This window comes from Homo sapiens, chromosome 15 (genome assembly GCF_000001405.40).
Source record: "Homo sapiens chromosome 15, GRCh38.p14 Primary Assembly".
NCBI lineage: Eukaryota > Metazoa > Chordata > Mammalia > Primates > Hominidae > Homo > Homo sapiens.
In genome coordinates, this window is record NC_000015.10 from 43,458,933 (window position 1) to 43,481,280 (window position 22,348).

Below are 22,348 nucleotides of genomic sequence, written 5' to 3' on the forward strand. Positions count from 1 at the left end.
CATTACTATATAACCTAGGCATTCTGCTTGTAGGCATTTACCCAAGAAAAATAAAAATATGTGCCCACAGAAAGATGTGCATCCAAATGATCACAGAATTATTATTCGTAAGATGTGCATGCTGGCCAGGCACAGTGGCTCACATTTGTATTCTCAGCACTTTGGGAGGCCAAGACAGGCAGATCTCTTGAGGCCAGGAGTTCGAGGTCAGCCTGGCCAACATGGTGAAATCCCGCCCCTACTAAAAATACAAAAATTAGCTGGGCATGGTGGTGCACACCTGTGATCCCAGCTACCCAGAGGCTGAGGCACGAGAATTGCTTGAACCCAGGAGGCAGAGGTTGCAGTGAGGCAAAATCACGCCACTGCACTCCAGCCTCAGCGACAGAGCGAGAGTCTGTCTCCAAAAAAAAGATGTGCAAATGATCATAGGATTATTATTCATAAATTCATGGGAAATTATTCATATATTCACTCATATAATGGTCATATATTAATTATAATTGAATAGATTATTCAAAATAACCAAAAACTAGAACCAAATGTCCTATCAATTGGTGAATGAATAAACAAATTGTGGATACACATATTATGGAACACTATCCAACAATATAAATGGAATAAAATATGAATATGTATAATACAAGCAAATCTCAAAAATATGCTAAGTAAAAGAGCTCAAAAATAAAAGACCACACACACTTCCTGATTCCAATTGCATGAAATTCTTTTTTTTCTTTTTTTTTTTTAAAGACAAGGCTTCACTCTGTTGCCTAGGCTCTGGAGTGCAGTGGTGAGATCACAGCTCACTGCAGCCTCAATTTCCTGGGCTCAAGCAATCTCTCACCTCAGCCTCCCAAGTAGCTGGGAATACAGGTGGGCGCCACAACACCCAGGTAATTTTTAAAATGTCTTTTAGAAATGGGATCCTGCTATATTGCCCAGACTTGAAACTACTGAAATACCAAAACTATACTGACAGAAAGCTGATGTGTGATTGCCTAGGGCGGGAGAAGGGAGTATACTGGGCAGCAGGGAGATCAACCACAAAAGGTTATAAGGAAACTTTTTAGGGTGAGGGAACTGCTCTCTACTTTGATGGTGGTGATGGTTACACAGCTGTATACATTTGCCAAAATTCATCAAAACATACACGTAAAATAATTTTATTTTATGTAACCAATACTTCAATATTTTTAAAAAGAGAAATTAATACAAAACTTAGCTGTTTTTATAAGAGATTTTACATTTAGTGTGTTATTTTGCCTAATGTAAATGATGTAAAACTCCCAACATAGATGGTTAGGCATTCATTTCCTATGTTTTGTTTTGTTTTGTTTTGTTTTGAGACAAGGTCTCGCTCTGCCAGCCAGGCTGGAGTGCAGTGGCTTAATCACGGCTCATTGCAGCCTTAATGTCTTGGACTCAACTGATCCTCCCACCTCAGTCTCCCGAGTAGCTGGAACTACAGGTGCGCACCACCAGAGCCAGGTAATTTTTGTATTTTTTGTAGAGAGGGTCTCATTTTGTTGCCCAGGCTTGTTTCAAAATCCTGGGCTTGAGCAATCTGCCCAGCTTAGCCTCCCAAACTGCTAGGATTACAGGCATGAGCCACCACGCTCAGGCTTTTTTTCCTATGATTTTTAAGGGAATGAGGAATCAAATGGGTAGTAAAGCATTCTGTATATTCCATAACTTCTGATATTTCAATGTCTGGTATTATTGTTTATCCTATCAGATTGTAACAATGATCCTAAGTTTGAATCTGTTCATATACTCTCAGACATGACTGAGTATAAACTGGTTCAAGCCAGATGCAGTGGCTCTAACTTATAATCCCAACACTTTGGAAGGCCGAGGCAGAAGGATTACTTGAGCCCAGGAGTTTGAGATAAGCCTGCGCAACAAAGTGAGACCCTGTCTCTACCAAAAAAAAAAAAAACATTAGCTGAGTGTGGTGGCACACGTCTGTGGTCACAGCTACTTGGGAGCCTGGATGGTTAAGGCTGCAGTGAGCAGTGTGATTGTGCCACTGCACTCCAGCCTGTACAACAGAGTAAGACCCTGCCTCAAAAGGAAAAAAAAAAAAAAGGTTCAACATTTCTAAATGGCAATTTAGCAAAACACAACAGCCCTGAAATTCTATACCCCATAATCCAATAATTCCATTTCTGGGAAATTAATCAATGAAAGCACACTAATACTTAGCTACAAAATGGTTCACTGCTATATTATTATTTAGAATAGGAAACAATATGAAATACCTTAAATGGTTACAAATAGGAATTTTATTTTATTTTTTTTTTGAGACAGGTCTTGCTCTGTTGCCCAGGCTGGAGTGCAGTAATGCGATCATGGCTCACTGCAGTCTTGACCTCCTAGGCTCAAGTGATTCTCTTACCTCAGCCTCCCGAGTAGCTGGGAATACAGGCACACACCACCACACCTAATTTTTTAGTATTTTTTGTAGAGACGAGATTTTGCCATGTTGCCCAGGCTGATCCTGAACTCCTAGGTTCAAGCAATCTGCCCACCTCGAACTCCCAGAGTGCTGGGATTACGGGCATGAGCTACCTCGTCCGGCCAAGATAATAATTTTTAAATTGTGATCTATCACATGATAGAATGTTTTGTGGTCTACATAAAAGTATACAGTAGAAGAATACTAAAAGATCAAAAAACATTTGGGCTATAGAAAGAAGTTTCTATTTTAGTAAAAAATTATGTGGATATACATTATATTTTTTTTTTTTTGAGACACAGTCTTGTTCTGTCACCCAGGCTGAAGTGCAGTGGCACCATCTCCGCTCACTGCAACCTCCACCTCCCAGGTTCAAGTGATTTTCCTGCCTCAGCCTCCAGAGTAACTGGGATTACAGGTGCCCGCCACCACACCCGGCTAATTTTTGTACTTTTTAGTAGAGATGGGGTTTCACCGTGTTGGCCAGGCCGGTCTCAAACTCCTGACCTCAAGTGATTGGTCTGCCTCGGCCTCCCAAAGCTGGGATTACAAGCGTGAGCCACAGAACCTGGCCATTCTACTCTTTTTACACATTTTATAATATATAATCTTCATGTAATTTTAGTTAATAAACATATATCAAAAAAAGCTAAGAGGGCCAGGTGTGATGGCTTACACCTGTAATCCCAGCACATTGGGAGGCTGAGGCAGGTGGATCACCTGAGGTCAGGAGTTCGAGACCAGCCTGACCAACAAGGTGAAACCCCATCTCTACTAAAAACACAAAAATTTGCCAGACACGTGGAGAGCGAGACTTCATCTCAAAAAAAAAAAAAAAAAAAAAAAAAAAAAAAAAAAAAGCTAAGAGTTGTTATTTCTGAGGTAGAATAACTAATGATCTTATCTTCTCTTTTTTCTTTTCTTCAAGATGGGGTCTTGCTTTGTCACCCAGGCCAGAGGGCAGTGGCACAATCATAGTTCACTGCAGCTTCAAACACCTGAACTCAAGCAATCTTCCCCGCTCATACTGCTCCCCAGCACCAGGAGCTGGGACTACAGGCACACGTCACCACATCCGGCTAATTTTTTTTTTCTTTTGGTGGGTAGAGACGGGGGCCTCACTATGTTGCCCAGGCTGCTGTCACACTCCTAGCTCAAGCTATCCTCCCACCTTGGCCTCCCAAAGCACTGGTATTACAGGTGTAAGCCACCAAGCATGACCACATCTTCTGCAAGACATATGTATTTTTTCCCTTGTTGCAAAAAATAAGTCATTTTACAAAGTCTCATAGATAAAACATCACTAACGTAAAGCTATAAATACCTTTTTTTAAATGAAACTCACAATATAAAATTAACCCATTTTAAACTAAACAATTCAGGCCAGGCGTGGTGGCTCATGCCTGTAATTCCAGCACTTTGGGAGGCCAAGGCAGGCAGATCACTTAAGGTCAGAAGTTTGAGAACAGCCTGGCCAACATGGTGAAACCCCATCTCTACTAAAAATACAAACATTAGCTGGGCATGGTGGTGTGCACTTTTTGTCCCAGTTACTTGGGGTGCTGAGGCAGGAGAATCACTTGAACTCAGGAGGAGGAGGTTGCAGTGAGCTGAGATCATGCCACTGCACTCCAGCCTGGGCGACAGAGTGAGACTCCATCTCAAAAAAAACACAAAAACAAAAATAAAATAATTCAATGGCATTTGGTGCATTTACAATGTTATGCCACCACCACCACTATTCTAGTTTGAAAACATTTAATTGTCTAATTTGTCCTCACCAAAATTAATACATATATCAAGAATGAGAAAATGTTAACTATCAAACTGTGTTCTACTAATCCTCTCCCCATCCCTCATATCTTGGTAAAGGGTCAAAGAGGCTATGCAATTGACAAGTTTATTAGGAAAGAAAGAAAAAAATAGACAAAATTACCTTTATCCCAATTTTCTCTTGAATAGTACTAATCTCTTTACACATATTTAAATCTTACAACATCAAAATTAGGTTGACTTGGACTCCAGTAACCAAGGTACAAAAGAAATAACAGATGAACAAGGGTTACCCATTAAGAATAACAAGAATAAGTTTGACATATAATGAAAAAAGTAGGGAACTTAATAGAAATGGAGAACTAAATATACACATATTCAGAGTTTTCTGAAATCCCATTAAGTAATGGTAAAGGGATTTTTCTTAAGCACAAAACTTCAAGAAAAAGAGAACAGAAGAAAAGAGAACTGCAAAAAAAATCTGGAAAAGGTAATCTATTTAGCAGAAGAGTGAAAGCTGAATTCCTAAGCCAGCAGTGGAGAAAGCCAACAAACCACCAGAGTTACACCACAGTTCCAACACCCATAATCTCACCCTGCCCCTCCTCTGCCCTGGAGAGAGTAAAACAGAGTGTCCCAGGACTGGCAGACAAGAGGCACAGTTATCAGGAAGTACAATACTGAAAATACGGAGATTAAATGAAAATCTACATATTGAATGAAACCTGCACCTGCCTCCCAACCCCCCTTCCCACCCAAAGCCCGCTTCCATTAATAGACCTCTAGTACAGCCAGGCCAATACCCTGCAAATAGGAGATCAGACATTTTCCTAAGGGATCTGACCAGGCCAAGATGAATCAAGATACTGACATTATGGGACTCCCAATAAAATGTCTCAGCGGATCACATTACAGCAAATCCCAAAAACAATAAGACCCAACCACCCACTCAGAACTACTAATCATCTGTCTGATATTTCACTCTTGAACATCAGCAAATAATCAAAGATTACCAGACATCTGAGGAAAGCCTCTAATTTGAAAGAGATCAAAACAAACAAAACTAAAGTCCACCTGGAAGAAATAGGACTATTCCAGACAGAAGAAAACTGTTATTAATACTGTTACAGAGATAAGATAGTATATCAATAAAACAAGAGAAATGGTATTTAAAAATATATTCTGAAAAAAGAATTTAGAAATTAAAAACCCAAGAGTAGAAATTAATAACTAAGAGAAGAATTAAAAGATGGTTGAACTGGGCAATGGCACCTGTAGGTATACATAAGAGAAATAAAACCATGTTCACACACAAACTTGTCCATAAATGTACATAGCAGCATTATTCACAATAGCCAAAAGGGGAAACAACCCAAACGTCCATCAACTGACGAATCCATGAGTAACTGTGGTATATCCACACAATTGTATTATTCAGCAATAAAAAGGAATGAAGGCCAGGCGTGGTGGCTCATGCCTGTAATCCCAGCACTTTGGGAGGCCGAGACAGGCGGATCACCTGAGGTCGGGAGTTCAAGACCAGCCTGACCAACATGGAGAAACCCCGTCTCTACTAAAAAAAAAATACAAAATTTGCCAGGCATGGTGGTGCATGCCTGTAATCCCAGCTACTCAGGAGGCTAAGGCAGGAGAATCGCTTGAACCTGGGAGGCGAAGGTTGCAGTGAGCCAAGATCATGCCATTGCACTCCAGCATGGGCAACAAGTACGAAACTCCATCTCAAAAAGAAAAATAAATAAATAAATAAATAAAAAAGGAATGAAATTCTTTTTTCCTTTATATTTTTTATAGACAAGGATAGATCAATACAAAAAAAGGAATGAAAATCTGATACATGCTACAACACAGGTGAATCCTGAAAACATTATGCTAAATGAAAGAAGCCATTCACAAAGGCTATATATTTTATAATTCCATTTATATGAAATGTCCAGAATAGGCAAATCTATAGAGACAGAAAGTAGACTGGTGTCTACTTTCCATTTGTAGACTGGTGTCTACAAATCTATAGAGACAGAAAGTAGACTACCCTCGAAGGGCCGAGGGTAGAAGAAATGTTGAGTGAGTGCTAAAGGGCATGGGTTTTGAGGAGGTGATGAAACTATTCTGAAATTAGATCATGGTGATGGTTGCACAACTCTATGAATATACTAAAAACCACTGGATTGTGCACTTTAAATGGGTAAACTGAATGGTATGTGAATTACATCTCAATATAGCCACTGTTTTTTTAATGATTGAAGAAATCACCCAGCAAGTTGAACTAAAAGAGACAGAGATGATCAAAAGTAGGAGGCAAAATAAAATTAGAAGACTATTCTAGGAGTTTCAACATCCAAACAACAGATAGTCCATTAAAAAAAGAAGAAGAACAGAGAAAACAAAGGGGAAGAAATTAAAGAAATAAATTTCTTTGAACTGAAGGACCTGAGTTTCTAAATTGAGAGGGCCTGCCAAGTACCCAATACAATGAATGAAAATAGACGTATCCCAAAGGTCTGGAAATTTCAGAACACTGGGAACGAAGAGAAAATCCTACAGGATTCCAGTAAAGAAAAACCAGATCACCTATTAAAAGTCAAGATCAGACTGCCTTCACACTGTTTTGTTTTTTGTTGTTGTTGTTGTTGTTGTTTTGTTTTGTTTTGGTACAGACAGGGTCTGGCCATGTTGCCCAGGCTGGTCTCAAACTCCTGGCTTCAAGTGATCCTCCCACCTTAGCCTCCCAAAGTGCTAAGATTACAGGCATGAGCCACCATGGCTGACCTGACCCTCACACTTAACAGCAGCACTGGAAGTTGGAAGACAAAAGAGCAATGCCTTCAAAATCTTTAAAGGAAAATTATTTCCAATCTAGAATTCTATACTCCTGCAAACTACAAATCAAGTGTGATAGCAGAATAAAGGCTACTAAACAATGTCCCCCACCAAAATGAGGGAGTAAACCAAGCAAGAAGATATGAAACCCAAGAGGTATCCAACACAGACAGGTAAGGAGAATCTCCACGGATGACAGTGAACGGAGGTTAACAGTTATGCACCAGGCATAGAGGGCAACAGTACAGATTAGAAATCAGGAGGGTCCAAAAGAGGTTTCTCCAAAAAGATGAAACAGAAAGTCTAAGGCTCCTCAACATCCTGAAAGGAGTTTCTGACAATTGGTGGAGAATCTAGGGTTGATTTAATGAGAGTCAAAGAAAACTAAACAAATAAAAAAAGACAATTACAATTTCAGAGAAAAGAAACATGAAAAACTATTAATAATATGTCATAGGCTCTGCTGTGAATTGTTTACATAGTTATAATGTAAACTCAGTAATAATCTAAACAAAATTACGATGTAACTATACTTGGAAAATGGCTAAAATTTTTTTATGAAAATAGGCTGGGCACGGTAGCTCACATCTGTATGTAATCCCAGCATTTTGGGAGGCCAAGGCAGGAGGTCTGCTTGAGCCCAGTAGTTCAAGACCAGCCTGGGCAACATAGTGAGGTCCCATCTCTACAAAAAAATTTTTAATTAGCCAGGTGTGATAGTGTGTGCCACTAGTCCTAGCTACTCAGGAGGCCGAGGTGGGAGGATGGCCTGAGTACAGAAGTTCGAGGTTACAGTGAGCTATGATTGCTCCACTGCATTCCAGCCTGAGCAACAGGTCAAGACCCTGTGCCTAAGAAAAAGAAAATATAATCATGCTATGTAGAATTATGGAGGTAAATACCAAAAGAAAAAGCATAAAGAACGAAAAGTGGTTATCTTTGGGTAGGAAGAGGAAGAGGCCTTGTTTTAACTATCTGACTTATTTTTGGGGTTTTACACATGCTTATTAAGTAAAATCAAATCTTTAACTTAAAAGCTATGTTGTAAAGGTATTCTTTTTTTTTTTTGAGACAAGGTCTCACTCTGTTGCTCAAGCTGAGTGCTGTGGCATGATCATGGCTCACTGCAGCCTCAACTTCCCAGATTCAAGCAATTCTCCAGGCAATTCTCCTGCCTCAGCCTCCTGAGCAGCTGGGACTACAGGCACACACCACCACTCCTGGCTATTTTTGACCATTTGTAGAAATGGGGTCTCGCTATGTTGCCCAGGCTGTTCTCAAACTCCTGGGCTCACGTGATCCTCCCACCTCGGCCTCCCAAAGTGCTGCAATTATAGGTGTGGGCTACTGCGCCCGGCCTACTAAAGGTATTCTTGAGAGACTTTTCAGGAGGCATGGACTGCACTGGCTAAGGCATCTTATAAAATATGAGTTCAAAGAAACCTGATTAGAGTCATCTTAGGTTCCAAGAATCTCTGAACTATGTTCAGAATCACTCATTTGTCTCAAATTTTCATTGCTGATTTTTTAGCTAATTCTGAAGGTCTTTGGTAAATGTTGAAAATAGAGCAATTCCTTCAACAGTGCCTTGTTTTTCAAAACGTCCATTCTCCCTTTGTGGCCAGGCATCATCTCCACCCCCCCAACCAGCAGGAATACCTTTCCAAAGACCATAAAAGTCTCGTTTGGTCACTGATAAACATCTGTAACCATTTTCTTTAAATCAGTGTTGGAAGAATCTTCTCAGTGCTCTGTGTCAGTGTTTATAGCTCATTCTTAAACTCTTTTTTTTTTTTTTTAAGACAGGGCCTCACTGTTGCCCAGGCTGCAGTGCAGTGGCGCGATCTCAGCTCACTGTAACCTCTGCCTCCTAGGTTCAAGCGATTCTCCTGCCTCAGCCTTCCAAATAGCTGGGACTACAGGTGCGTGCCAGCATGCCTGGCTAATTTTTGTATTTTTTGGTAGAGACTGGGTTTCACTGTGCTGGCCATGCTGGTCTTGAACTCCTGGTCTCAAGTGATCCGCCTGCCTCGGCCTCCCAAAGTGCTGGGATTACAGGCATGAGCCACCACACCTGGTCAGATTTATAACTTTTTTTTTTTTTGAGACAGGGTCTTGCTATTTTGCCCAAGCTGTTCTCAAACTCCTAGGTTCAAATGCTCCTCCCACCTCAATCTCCTGAGCAGCTGAGATTACAGGCATGCCCCACCATGCCCAGCTATGTTCACATATAACTTAGAAAAATAAAAGCTAAAGAAGGCCAGGTACGGTGGCCCACACCTGTAATCTCAACACACTGGGAGGCTGAGAGAGGAGGATTGCTTGAGCCCAAGAGTTTAAGAACAGCCCTGGCAACATAGTGATACCCCGTCTCTATAAGAAAAATTAAGAAATTAGTTGGGCATGGTGCCATGTGCCTGTAGTTCCAGCTACTTGGGATGCTGAGGTGGGAGGATCACTTGAGACTGGGAAGTCAAGGCTGCAGTGAGCCATGGTCGCACCACTGCACTCCAGCCTGGGCAACAGACCAAGATCCTGTCTCAAAAAAAAAAAAAAAAAGCTAAAGAAAATGATGTATGGTTCGAACATCCATTTCACCTCTAGGTAACCTTGTTTTTAACCCTTTCACTGCCAACAACAGCTACCCTTATATGCAGTACCAAGTGCAAGGCACTAGTCTAAGCATTTTATATATATTAACTCAACCTTTCATAAACATCCTACGAGGTAGACAGTATCAATATCCCCATCATTTGACTGATGAGCAAACTAAGATTCAATTTCAATTGGTCACAAAGGTAGTAATGACAGAGCCAGGAGCGAGTCCAGGAAGTTCTGACTCTAGAGTCCTCATTTTTAATAACGCTACCAAATTCTAATGAACTGCATAAAATGAAATCCTTTAACAAAACAAGTTTTAAAACTCCAGAAAACAAATCAATTTCTTCCTACTGTCCCCTCCTCACTAAATTTACAGTTCATTACTATTCATTTTCAAATTTTACTTTTAAATACAAACTCTTGTTATAACACCTGCAAACTGAAAGGGGTAAAATAAGTTGTCCCAATAAAACTACAATAATTCCCCCACTTAAGGTCTTATAAGAATAGGTATTTAGATTGAATATATAATAGTCATTTAGATTTAAGGATTTTCAACTCAGTATGAAACCTGAATTTCATTTCTTTAAATATTTAAATTTAAAATTATACAAATTAATAGTTTTCCCTCGCTTTTAGAAGAAAATACACATTGGAAAACTAAAAACCATCTTGATACCCTAAGTATAGGATGATCCTGTACTGAGATCACATCTACTTAGAGAAATAATACATGACTTTTGAAAGGATAAGTGAAGACAATATAACACTGAGAATTATTACGACACAACATTAACTGGAAAAAGAAAATTAAAGTTGTGCTATATAAACACCTTTTTTAAAAAACATAAGCATGTGGGGGCACATATCGTCAGGACCTCCTGAGGCTGTGTCATAGGCAAAAAAATTTATTAAAAAAAACCATAAGCATGTAGAAAGACAAAAATTACAGTAACAGTTGTGTTAAAGTAGAATAATGATTTATGTCACTTCGCAATTTTGCAGTAACATTTTCAAAAAGTTTAAAGACATTGTAAAAAGTTTAAACATAAAAAAAAATCAAGATGTTAGGTGACTTTGGAACTGTTCTAAAACTGCTTTGTGACGACAGCTTCACAACTCTGTAAATTTACTAAAATATCACAAAATTATACATTTAAAACGTGTGAATTTTATGGTATGTAAATTATACCCCAATAATGCTGCTTTAAAAAAATATGTTAGGAGAAACAACTCTTTTTACAATACTCACATGAGAAAACTGAGGCTGGGATGGGATAGGAAGTGACCCAGGAGGGAAGACTGGTGTGCTCTGAGATATTGGTGTTGAGGCTTGTGGTGATACAGTGGACTCAGGCAGGAGAGGGGGGTTTTCTAACTCCACTGGTTCACCACTTTGAAGTTTCTTCTGAAAAGGCTCTCCTCCTTCTTCAGATAACACTGACGTGTCCATTGGCTTATCTGGTTTAAAACAGGAGAAACAAATTGAGAAATATCACTCATCAATATTACTCATGTTCCAAAACCACTAAGAACAATTACACTACAGACATTTTCACTCTAAAAAAATAGTGACGTAATTTTTCAGAAAAGCTGACAGAATAATAGTAGACTGGGTCCTAGCAATCTACCAATACTTCCTTTGGTTGGCGGAGCAGTCCAAGCTCCTATTTTTAGGTATAGATCAAAACTGGATGCATCTGGGGCTACCCACCCATTCATAAAAAATGTTAAATTAACTTGGCTCCTTTCCTGATTTTATAGCTCAGTTTTTCACATTTCCTGTAGAAAAGCCCAAACTACTGGTACCTAATTTAACCATCATATATTCTACCACAGGCCTTGAAAGACAGTGAATTTGTCACCACTTTAGGTAAATACAGTATCTATAATTCATATTTACGAACTGATTATATTTGCATTAACAATTGCTAACTGCAGAGAGATGGATGCCTGTACAAATACAGATGAAGAAAAAAAATCTATCAATGCCAATCAGCACTGATTTATCAAAGAACTAAGAAAGAGAAGACACTAATCCTGACACACATTAGGAGGGAACACACACACACAAAACACAAAACACTGCTTTCCCATAGTATACTACCCACCTGTAGGCTATCAGGAACTTGCTTGGAGTCAGCCCAGCTAGCTAAGTATTTGATTCATCATTTGTATCCCCTATCTTACAACTTGACCCCAACCAGGCTTCCTCTAGACCACTCACAAACTACTAACAACATTTACCTTTTCCCCATAATTCACATTCATGCTACCAGCTACCCAAACTGCAACCTCAATACCCAGCTTTGCTGCTTAGCTTAGTCTCAACCTTACCAGTCTACACCTAATTTGGGATCCAGTGCTACAGGCCTTTAATATACTACCATAGCTGTGCTAAGTATTTTTGTTGCACCTTTTGAACTTTCTTGCCATGACAAAGCACATTAAAAACCTGCTGTTATAGGCACTACATACAAAAAAGGCTTTAGGTTAAGAGAAAAGCAAAAAAACAAATAAATACAAAAAGCACATATAGTTTCACAAACACTGATGTACATACATATTAAGCAAATGCATTAAATCTAAAATATAACTGACAAGGGAAAATACACTGTTACATAAAAAAAAAAAACTGAGTCATATACACAACATGCCAATTATGTAAAACTACTTTATGCATTGAAAACTGAAATATATCCAAATATACTAGTTGTAGCTATATCTGGAGTGTAGTATCACAGGTGATTTTTATTTTCATTAATTTCCTATATACTTAACAAACTTTCTACAATAAATATTGACTGTTTACAATCAGGGAGAAAGCTTTTTTTTTTTTGAGACAGGGTCTCGCTCTGTTGTCCAGGCTGCGACGCAGTGGTGCCACCTTGGCTCACTGCAACCTCCGCCTCCCAGGTTCAAGTGATTCTCCTGCCTCAGCCTCCTGAGTAGCTGGGATTACAGGCACCCGCCACCACACCCAGTTAATTTTTTATATTTTTAGTAGAGATGGGGTTTCACCATGGTGGCCAGGCTGGTCTCAAACTCCTGACCTCAGGTGATCTGCCCACCTTGGCCTCCCAAAGTATTGGGATTACAGGTGTGAGACACCGTGCCCAGCCTGAGAAAGTATATTTAATATAATTATTTTTATATTTTTTCAATGTTCACACTACAGATAAAAGATAAAAGAAACTGTTTTAAGAATTAACCAAACTTCACTTGTATTACCTGGGTTTTTGTAGAATTAATTCACCTAATCATGTTATACTTAGATTGATATCAGTCACTAATCATGTTATGCTTAGATTGATATTAGTCAATTTGGATACCTACAACTGATTTTAAGAGAAACAGCCAGAGACAAACTTTGTAGCAGAAGAAAGCCTAAGATCAAATTCTATCACTGATAAATTACATTTGAAAAACTGTTAAATGTCTATGTTTTATGTTACTCAAGAGCAGAGAAAGGATATAATAGGAGGCATATACATGACAGATGAAGGCACAGGCTCTGGAGGCAGCTGCCTGAGTTCAAATTCTGCTTCTACATCTCATTAGTTGAAAAATCTCTCTATGCCTCCATTTCCTCATCTGTAAAATGGGGATAAAAATAACACCTCCTTCTTAGGATGTTTGTGAGGATTCAATGAGAAAAACCACAGAAATGCCCTTAGAACAATGCCTTGCCTATACTAAGTGCTCAATAAATAAAACTATTATACCATTACTTGTATATGAAAGAGTGAAAAGATGAAAATCATAGAATTTATTAGAAAAAGCTTTGTAGAAATCGTAAGAACTTAGAAACATCTTGAATGACTGGATAGGAGACTAGGTCAGAGCAAAAGAAGCTTAAATAATGAGATAAATTAGGTAAGTGAAAAGGAAAGCTTTCTTGTGAATAAAGTAATATAAAATCTCTAAGTCGTCAAAGGAGTAAATGAATGAAGTTAAAATTTTTACCACCTACTCTTAACCATTCTTATGCTAAAACTATTTTAATAGCAAAAATAACCTATAAGGACCACAAGAAACAATTGCTGGTTCCTTCTCACCAGAAATGTGTTCACGTGTTGCTAGAAACAAGTAGGCCATTATTAATAAGTCCAGTTCTTCCCCATACTAATTCATTTCAGTTCAACTTTAAAAACAAAAATTTTTCCTTCAGAGCCTTTTTAAAAATTGAGCCAATACAGAAATCTCAATAGAATTAGTGCTAGAAAAGCAAAGAATGGGGGATGGTGTGTCCAGAATTGGTGGGTTCTTGGTCTCACTGACGTCAAGAATGAAGCCGCGGACCCTCACGGTGAGAGTTACAGCTCTTAAGGTGGCGCGTCTCGAGTCTGTCCCTTCTGATGTTCAGATGTGTTCGGAGTTTCTTCCTTCTGGTGGGTTCGTGGTCTCGCTGGTTCAGGAGTGAAGCTGCAGACCTTCGCGGTGAGTATTACAGCTCTTAAGGCAGCGCGTCTAGAGTTGTTCGTTCCTCCCAGTGGGCTCGTGGTCTCGCTGGCTTTAGGAGTGAAGCTACAGACCTCGCAGTGAGTGTTACAGCTCATAAAAGCAGCGTGGACCCAAAGAGTGAGCAGTAGCAAGATTTATTGCAAAGAGTGAAAGAACAAAGCTTCCACACTGTGGAAGGGGACCCGAGCGGGTTGCCACTGCTGGCTCGGGCAGCCTGCTTTTATTCTCTTATCTAGCCCCACCCACATCCTGCTGATTGGTAGAGCCAGTGGTCTGTGCTGACAGGGGGCTGATTGGTGCATTTACAATCCCTGAGCTAGACACAAAGGTTCTCCACGTCCCCACCAGATTAGCTAGATACAGAGTGTCCACACAAAGGTTCTCCAAGGCCCCACCAGAGTAGCTAGATACAGAGTGTCCATTGGTACATTCACAAACCCTGAGCTAGACACAGGGTGCTGATTGGTGTGTTTACAAACCTTGAGCTAGAAACAGAGTGCCGATTGGTGTATTTACAATCCCTGAGCTAGACATAAAGGTTCTCCACGTCCCACCAGAGCAGCCAGATACAGAGTGTGGATTGGTGCATTCACAAACTCAGAGCTAGACACAGGGTGCTGACTGGTGTGTTTACAAACCCTGAGCTAGATACAGAGTGCCGATTGGTGTATTTACAATCCCTGAGCTAGACATAAAGGTTCTCCACGTCCTCACCAGACTCAGCAGCCCAGCTGGCTTCACCCAGTGGATCTCGCACGGGGGCTGCAGGTGGAGCTGCCTACCAGTCCTGTGCCGTGCTCCTGCACTCCTCAGCCCTTTGGGTGGTCGATGGGACTAGGTGCCGTGGAGCAGGGGGCAGTGCTCATCAGGGAGGCTCAGCCACACAGGAGCCCACGGAGGGGGTGGAAGGCTCAGGCATGGCGGGCTGCAGGTCCCGAGTCCTGCCCCACTGGAAGGCAGCTAAGTAAGGCCCGGCGAGAAATCAAGCGCAGCGCCGGTGGGCTAGCACTGCTGGGGGACCCAGTACACCCTCCATAGCCGCTGGCCCGGGTGCTAAGCCCCTCATTGCCCGGGGGGCCGGCAGGGCCGGCCGGCTGCTCCGAGTGCAGGACCCGCCAAGCCCACACCCACCAGGAACTCCAGCTGGCCCGCAAGCGCCGCGCACAGCCCCGGTTGCTGCTCGCACCTCTCCCTGCACGCCTCCCTGCAAGCTGAGGGAGCGGGCTCCAGCCTTGGCCAGCCCAGAAAGGGGATCCCACAGTGCAGCGGTGGGCTGAAGGGCTCCTCAAGTGCCGCCAAAGTGGGAGCCCAGGCAGAGGAGGCGCCGAGAGCGAGCGAGGGCTGTGAGGACTGCCAGCACGCTGTCACCTCTCAATGGGGTTAGACAAAAAAAAAAAAAAAAAAAGGAAGGAAGGAAAAGCAAAGAACTGAGGACAGCACTTTACAGTAGGTCACATCCCTAAAGGTTAGACAAACATGAGTCCTACCGAATTGTGTAGGTCACAAGCATTCTAAAGTACAAAGAAGTAGTACATTTTGCAAGGCAGAAAAAGTGTTGCTCCTCTTCTAATCTGAGATCAACAGACAGATCAAGAGAGCTCACCTTGTCTCCCTTCTTGCTCTGTGGGACTGCTAGGAACGATAAAAGGAGTAGATCGGAAAGCATCAGGAGAAGGAGCAACAAGATCTGAAGAATTCCTTTATATAAAGAGAGAATCACAGGTTATTTTACCATAGCCACAGTTTTGCATTTCTGTATTTGCTTTTACTTTTTAACAGGAAAAAATATCTAAGGCATTCAGATAAATACTTATCAGCACTTTTCCCCAACAGCAACCTGAGGCTGGTGGAAGAACCAAAAATACTTCAATAACTATTTCCCACACCAGACATTTCTGTTGTAAAATAAGAACTTTTTCAAAAAGAGAGTAAGGGCAAAGTGAATGATCAGACACAAGGACATCATGATTTAAAAGCAAAATGAGCAGTGCTAGGAAATAAATTCATTTGCAGATTTGAGACATAAAAAAAATTATTCCATTTTTTTGCCTAATAATAGTCAGACCATGAACATTTTCATCAGAAAACTAAAACTAAACAAAAAAAACCAACAAGCGAACCTCTTTGCCCTAACATAAAGAAATCCAACTACTGTCAACTTAACAACCTATTCTCCACCCTCTGCTATTAAATGAGAAGAATTGCAAGTAAAACAGAGGAGCAGAATGCTTGTTTTGGATGTGTAACATTTTCTAAATAACTGCGCCTTTTCTTTCTTAGTGAAACGTTTGGGCTACTATTATAAAATTTTCAAATGGGACAACAGATTTATCTGCCTTCAACAGTTCTTCATCCCCAAAGCTCTAATGCATAGGTTCTACCATTTGGTTTCAAAAAGAATTCTAGACTAGCAGATAAGTTTAGCCTCTTTCAGCCTTAGCCTAAGACTCTCAGGCACATACTGCCTTGGCATAAGCTATTTTAGGCTTACTTACGTGGAAAGACTGTCCTGAACAAGGGACCTCTGACCAGAGAGCTGCAGGAGATGCAGAGTGGTGGCAGGAGTGGAAGCCAAAGAACACCCACCTTCCTCCCTTGAAGGAGTAGAGCAACCATCAGAAGATACTGAAAAAAAGAAATTCCAGTTGCACTTCTCAGATTGACACTACTGAGCTGCCAAAAACCATTCAGTACTGCAAAGAGTAATATCCATATTTCCAACATATTTCCATATTTCCAAAAGGGCAGAAATTGTTTTCTAATTATAGTACAACGAATGGACTACTACAATAGCACAAATCTTGAGTGAACATTAACCACCCCCGCAATGGGCTTCTTGAATAAAGAACTGATGAAGAGTTCCTTAGTCCTTTCTGTCATGATCTAAGCTTGGAGATTAAAAGCCAGAATCCTGGATGGGCGCAGTGGCTCACACCTGTAATCCTAGCACTTTGGGAGGCTGAGGCGGGTGGATCATCTGAGGTCAGGAGTTCAAGACTAGCCAGACCAACATGGTGAAACCTCATCTCTACTAAAAATACAAAAATTAGCTGGGCGTGGTGGTATGCGCCTGTAATCCCAGCTACTTGGAAGGCTAAGGCAGGAGCATCACTTGAACCTGCTAGGCAGAGGTTGCAGTGAGCTGAGATTGCACCACTGCACTCCAGCCTGGGCAACAGAGGGAGACTCCGTCTCAAAAAAATAAATAAATAAATAAAATAAAAGCCAGAATCCTTATACTTCTGCTTAGCTGCTCTTCTTTCTTGTGATGCTTCTATTAAAAAACAGCAAATGAGCCTTTTATTCCAACGTCTACCTTAGGTGAAGTCAAGCTCATGCCATGATACAGATGGGAGAAGTCAAAAAAATGCACATGACACTTGATGTTATAAATGCAGCAGTTTTCAAGATTTGGGCCTGCTCAAAGGAGTAAAAGGATTTATGAGCAGCCATTACTGTTTTATACTATGAAGAGTCTCTTGTTGGTCCCTTCCCCTTAGCAATAGATGGAGTATCAACTATATTAATCCCAGTGTAAAAGAATTTCTTAAATAAAACCTTACAACTTTAGTAAGAGACCAACAAAGGTTCCTCGGTGACCCTCTGAATGTCTTGCACAGCAACCTGTATCACAGCATAGCAAAGGAAGATAGCCTTCTTCCCTTCCCGCCTTACAACCAACATAATATGTTTTGCTGGTAATTAACTCAAGCTTTCTAGCTCTCTGAGGCTGTGGAATGAAAGATTGGTGGAGGTTAAAGAGGTGTGAAACAAATTATATCCTTTTAAGTTTTATGTCCTTTCCGCTAGATTTTAAATTCCTATCTGTGTCAGATTAACTAATAAACAGATTAAGTTAGTAAACTGTTACCCAGATGAATATGAAAAACCTAGGCTTAATATCATATTGAAGATTTGAAGACATAGTAGCCATGTAACAGAAAATGGCAGCCAGGTGTGGTGACTCATGCCTGTAAGCCCAGCACTGTGGGAGGCCAAGGCAGGCGGATCACAAGGTCAGGAGATCAAGACCATCATGGCTAACACAGTGAAACCCCATCTCTACTAAAAATACAAAAAATTAGCCAAGCATGGTGGCGGGTGCCTGTAGTCCCAGCTACTAGGGAGGCTGAGGCAGGAGAATGGCATGATCCCGGGAGGCGGAGCTTGCAGTGAGCCGAGATTGCGCCACTGCACTCCAGCCTGGGTGACAGAGTGAGACTCCATCTCAAAAAAAAAAAAAAGAAAAAAAGAAAATGGCTAGTATCCATAATACTAAATTTACTGTATTAGCTATTCTTCACCATCTCATTTCCAAAAGAGAGAAAATTATGTCAAAATATTAAATGGAAATTATTCCCAAAAAGCCCTTCTCACTAATTACTAGAAACACGTTTTCCTTCCATATCACAAACAAGTCTGCAAACCTATAAAATGCTTTGTAACTTAACCAGTAGCCTCAGAACTAAAGTAAAAGTTTAGATCTTTGGAGAAGAGCTGTAACGACAAATCACTCTTGGTACCTGTTTTATTGCTCTGGTCAAACAAGTCTTCCTGAGTTGACAAAACCTCAGGCTCTGGTGACTTCTGAATCTGCAGTCCACTTTCCATAAGTTCTTGTGCAGACAACTGTTCTTTTGCTTCCATAGCAGCAACAGATGCTTTGGGGCTAAAAGGCATGTCCTCTGACCTAGGAAATTCATATCACCAGGAGAAAAAGTTCCTAAGTTCAAATGTTTTTAAATAAAAAGCTTTTCCTGTTTTGTGTGTTTTTCTTTAATAATTTCAAAAATTCCAGTGGCTCTAATTTACATAATTATATATTAAAAAGGAAATAAACTACTCTTTATAGTGATAAAAGTCCTCAGCCCATTTTAAAACCTGTCTCACTCTCTCTCACAGCCAATACCTGTCTTCAACTCTGCTCAATACTGTGCTTCATGCTTTCTAAGATTTCTGATGAGTAACTTGGGGAATTTTTGTTACATATAATGTTATCTAGACCTGTATAAAGAATTCTGATCCAGACCCCAATGATGCCAGTAAGGAGAACAGTCCAAACCATGACATTCCATGGAAAGCATTTGATGTCAATTATCCTCCTTACTAGTGCCACACACATCTTCTGCTGACCTTTTCCATTTGATGTACCCAAACCCCAAACCAATTCTCCTTCAGATCAATACTAACATGTATAAGACATTCATCCCTGGCCCCTTTCCAGAGACTTATGAGGTTCACCTGTTCTACCACTCCCCAGGGTAAACAGAATAGCATAACTAGATGGAAGGCAGCATCTAAAAGAAAAGCCTAAAAAGTCACTGTTATGCTGAGTGTTTTACATTAGAAAGACAATTTCTCTTGATATTCAACTTTGCTTAGGACACTCTCTCCCCACTCTTTCCATTGAAGGAAATAACAAAACAATACTGTTTATTTATCCCCTATCCCAAACTGGAAGCATCCCAGTTTTCTTCTGCCATATTCAAACTTCACTTACTGGCCAGAGGTAATGAAGCTTTGGTTATAAAAATCACGAGAGATGAAGCAGAGGCACATTCCCCAATTCCTACCAAGTTAAGAGCCTAAAGAACCTGAGAAAATCCCTACATCTATCGATACCATAAAATACCAGATGCAGGATACCTAAGAACCCAAAGCAATCTGGGTGCTCCTCAAGTATAGAAACAGTAGGCTTTCAAATAAAATAGTCATGTTACTCTTCATAACACCAGAGAGGCTAAGAAGACCTCCCACAGACAAGCAGTGTCTCTGTAGACAAAGATCACAAAGGAGGAGTGGCAACCAAAGATTACGGAGTCATGCTTATAGTTAGAGCAGCCTTAAAACATCATTGCAGGCTAGGCAGAGTGGCTCACGCCTATAATCCCAGCACTTTGGGAAGCTGAGGCAGGAGGATTACTTGAGCCCAGGAGTTCGAGACCAGCTTGAGCAACATAGCGAGACTCCATTTCTACAACAAAAAAATTTTTTTAATCAACAAAAAAAGGTCTTTGTAGAATGCCTAAAGATAAGATTAGTAGTCAAGTGTGGCCCCAGTACTTGGGAGGCTGGGGCAGAGAATCACATGAGCCCAGGGCAACATAGTGAGACTTTGTTTCAAACAGACAGACAGACAGACAGACAAAAAACAATTCTTGAGACTTCATAAATAATCAACGTTTCCAATGGACCACAAGTATGCCCAGTACAAGGGGAAAATAATTTAAAAATCAACAATTTCTAAAAATGTTTTCATCTGGTAAAATGACATTAGTATAACCCTACAGCAAAACTCGTAAATCCTTTTTAGAAAGTTCGGCTTACCTTGCAGGTGGTGGATTTTGCTCTTTTACAACATGTACATCCTTACTGGGCTGTGCTGTCACAGGGATGTCCTTGCTGGACTGTTCTGCTATGGGGATATCTTCGTTGGACTGTTCTTCATGCTTAATTGCTGAGAGTTTTATAAAATGACAGGAAGGAGATAATTAAGTTTTCAAAATACTAGATACAGTCCCAGATGTTTTTTAAAAAGCAAAGATTTTAACAGAAGTCCAATTTAAAATATATACAGGCATCAGTCTATAAAGGAAAGTAACCAATAACTTAAAACCTCAGCCCACAAACCAACAATTGACAAGTATTTACCAGAAAACTCTTCAACCTTACTAAATTACTTAGATTATATTAATTTGGATAGCTGCAAAACTTATCAAAGAAAAAATAACTACCTCTAATATGGGAGAAAACACAACAACTCCAAATGCCAGAAAACATGTTTCATACCAGTATTAGCATCCACATCAGACAGCCTGGTATAACCAGAGTTGGTGGTTACTGATTGTAGCTGCTCTTTGTCCACTTCATATGGCACAGTATTTTCCTCAACATCCTGGCTCTGGGAGAGTTCCAGAACCCCAAAACCCAACTGTGATGAGGCAGTATCTAGGAACAAAATGCCAAGAAATTAGGTATCATCCCACAACATTATGCAATGTACAAGCTGCTGTCCTCAGCAAAGGAGGGTCCCGTTAAGTCCTTCACATCAAAGCCCTGTGCACCCCCCAAATTTTTCAAAAATAAAAAATAAATGTGGCCGAGCACGGTGGCTCACACCTATAATCCCGGCATTTGGGAGGCCAAGGTAGGTGAATCACTTGAGGTCAGGCGGTCAAGACCAGCCTGGCCAACATGGTGAAACCCCATCTCTACTAAAAATACAAAAATTAGCCAGGTGTGGTGGCGCACACATGTAATCCTGGCTACTCGGGAGGCTGAAGCACAAGAATGGCTTGAACCCAGGAGGCGGAGCTTGCAGTGAGCCAAGATTGCGCCACTGCACTCTAACCTGGGCAACAGAGCAAGACTCCGTCGCAAAAAAATAAAAAATAAATTTAAAAAAAATAAGTGCATTAAAGATGAAGGGGGAAAATGTGTAATAAAGTAAAAATACTTCATACTATAAAATCTTATAAGGAGACTACGTCTGCTTTCTAAAGGTACATCATAAACTACACCCACAGTCACAGCAATTCAGACTGTACTTACACCCCACAAAGTACACATTACAAAAATATTTGAAAAACAAATGAATACAAGAGGAAGAAAACTCAATATGCAGAAAGGGGCTAACCAATGAACTACAAATTCCTGAATACCAAATCAGGTGGAACATTTTAAATTACTAGCAAATTTCTTAATGACTCTCAATTTAATTATGAGAAATCTGCAACCTAATAAAGAGGAGAAATTTAGACATCTGCACAATCATGTTAAAGGGAAGTTAGAACAGTCTATTATTCTGAAAAAAGCACAAGGCTACCTTCAGCACCAAGGGAATGTGTAGTATTGCCTGAAGTATCTTCTTCCTTCTCTTTCTCCTTCTGTTCCAACTCTTCTCCCTTCTCTTCCTCCACAGCAGGAGCAGATTCCACTGACATTCCCAGAACACTACACAGCAGAAGGATATAATCATGTGTTCCCAGATAGTTTGGGACACTTTAATCAGAGCACTCTGACCCCCAACACATACCAACCATCTCTTAGCCAAACTTGAAAAAGTAAAATACCTCACCTTTATAGTGCTTCTTTCTACAAAAAGCACCTAAAAGATTAACAATTCAACATCCTACACAGAATTAAGTAAAGAAAAAATAAGGCACCAACATACTCGAATTTTATATTTTTGAGAAGAGGCAGAAAAATCTT

The 22,348-nt window shown here is 40.4% G+C and overlaps 1 protein-coding gene across 11 annotated transcripts in view, besides 1 other annotated feature; it reads right to left on the bottom strand.

Annotated features, from left to right (window-relative positions):
* Positions 1–22,348, bottom strand: part of TP53BP1 (tumor protein p53 binding protein 1) — a 107,580-nt gene that overhangs the window by 55,872 nt on the left and 29,360 nt on the right. For all 11 annotated transcript variants that reach the window (XR_007064488.1, NM_005657.4, NM_001411050.1 and 8 more), the window contains 7 exons: positions 21,963–22,090; positions 20,927–21,085; positions 20,465–20,594; positions 18,661–18,827; positions 16,633–16,762; positions 15,741–15,835; positions 10,926–11,134 (listed from right to left, as the gene is read on the bottom strand). Coding sequence is in view for 9 of the 11 variants with exons in the window: in NM_005657.4 (NP_005648.1) it covers positions 10,926–11,134; positions 15,741–15,835; positions 16,633–16,762; positions 18,661–18,827; positions 20,465–20,594; positions 20,927–21,085; positions 21,963–22,090 (1,018 nt within the window). In the remaining 2 variants the exon portion in view is untranslated. The remainder of the gene's footprint in view (positions 1–10,925; positions 11,135–15,740; positions 15,836–16,632; positions 16,763–18,660; positions 18,828–20,464; positions 20,595–20,926; positions 21,086–21,962; positions 22,091–22,348) is intronic.
* Positions 18,272–18,513: a silencer, noted in NCBI's record as "fragment chr15:43769402-43769643 (GRCh37/hg19 assembly coordinates)". NCBI's record gives its function as "represses an EF-1alpha promoter that drives an FKBP-Casp9 reporter gene in an ReSE screen in K562 erythroleukemia cells {active_cell/tissue: K562}" and the evidence as "EXISTENCE:reporter gene assay evidence [ECO:0000049][PMID:32094911]".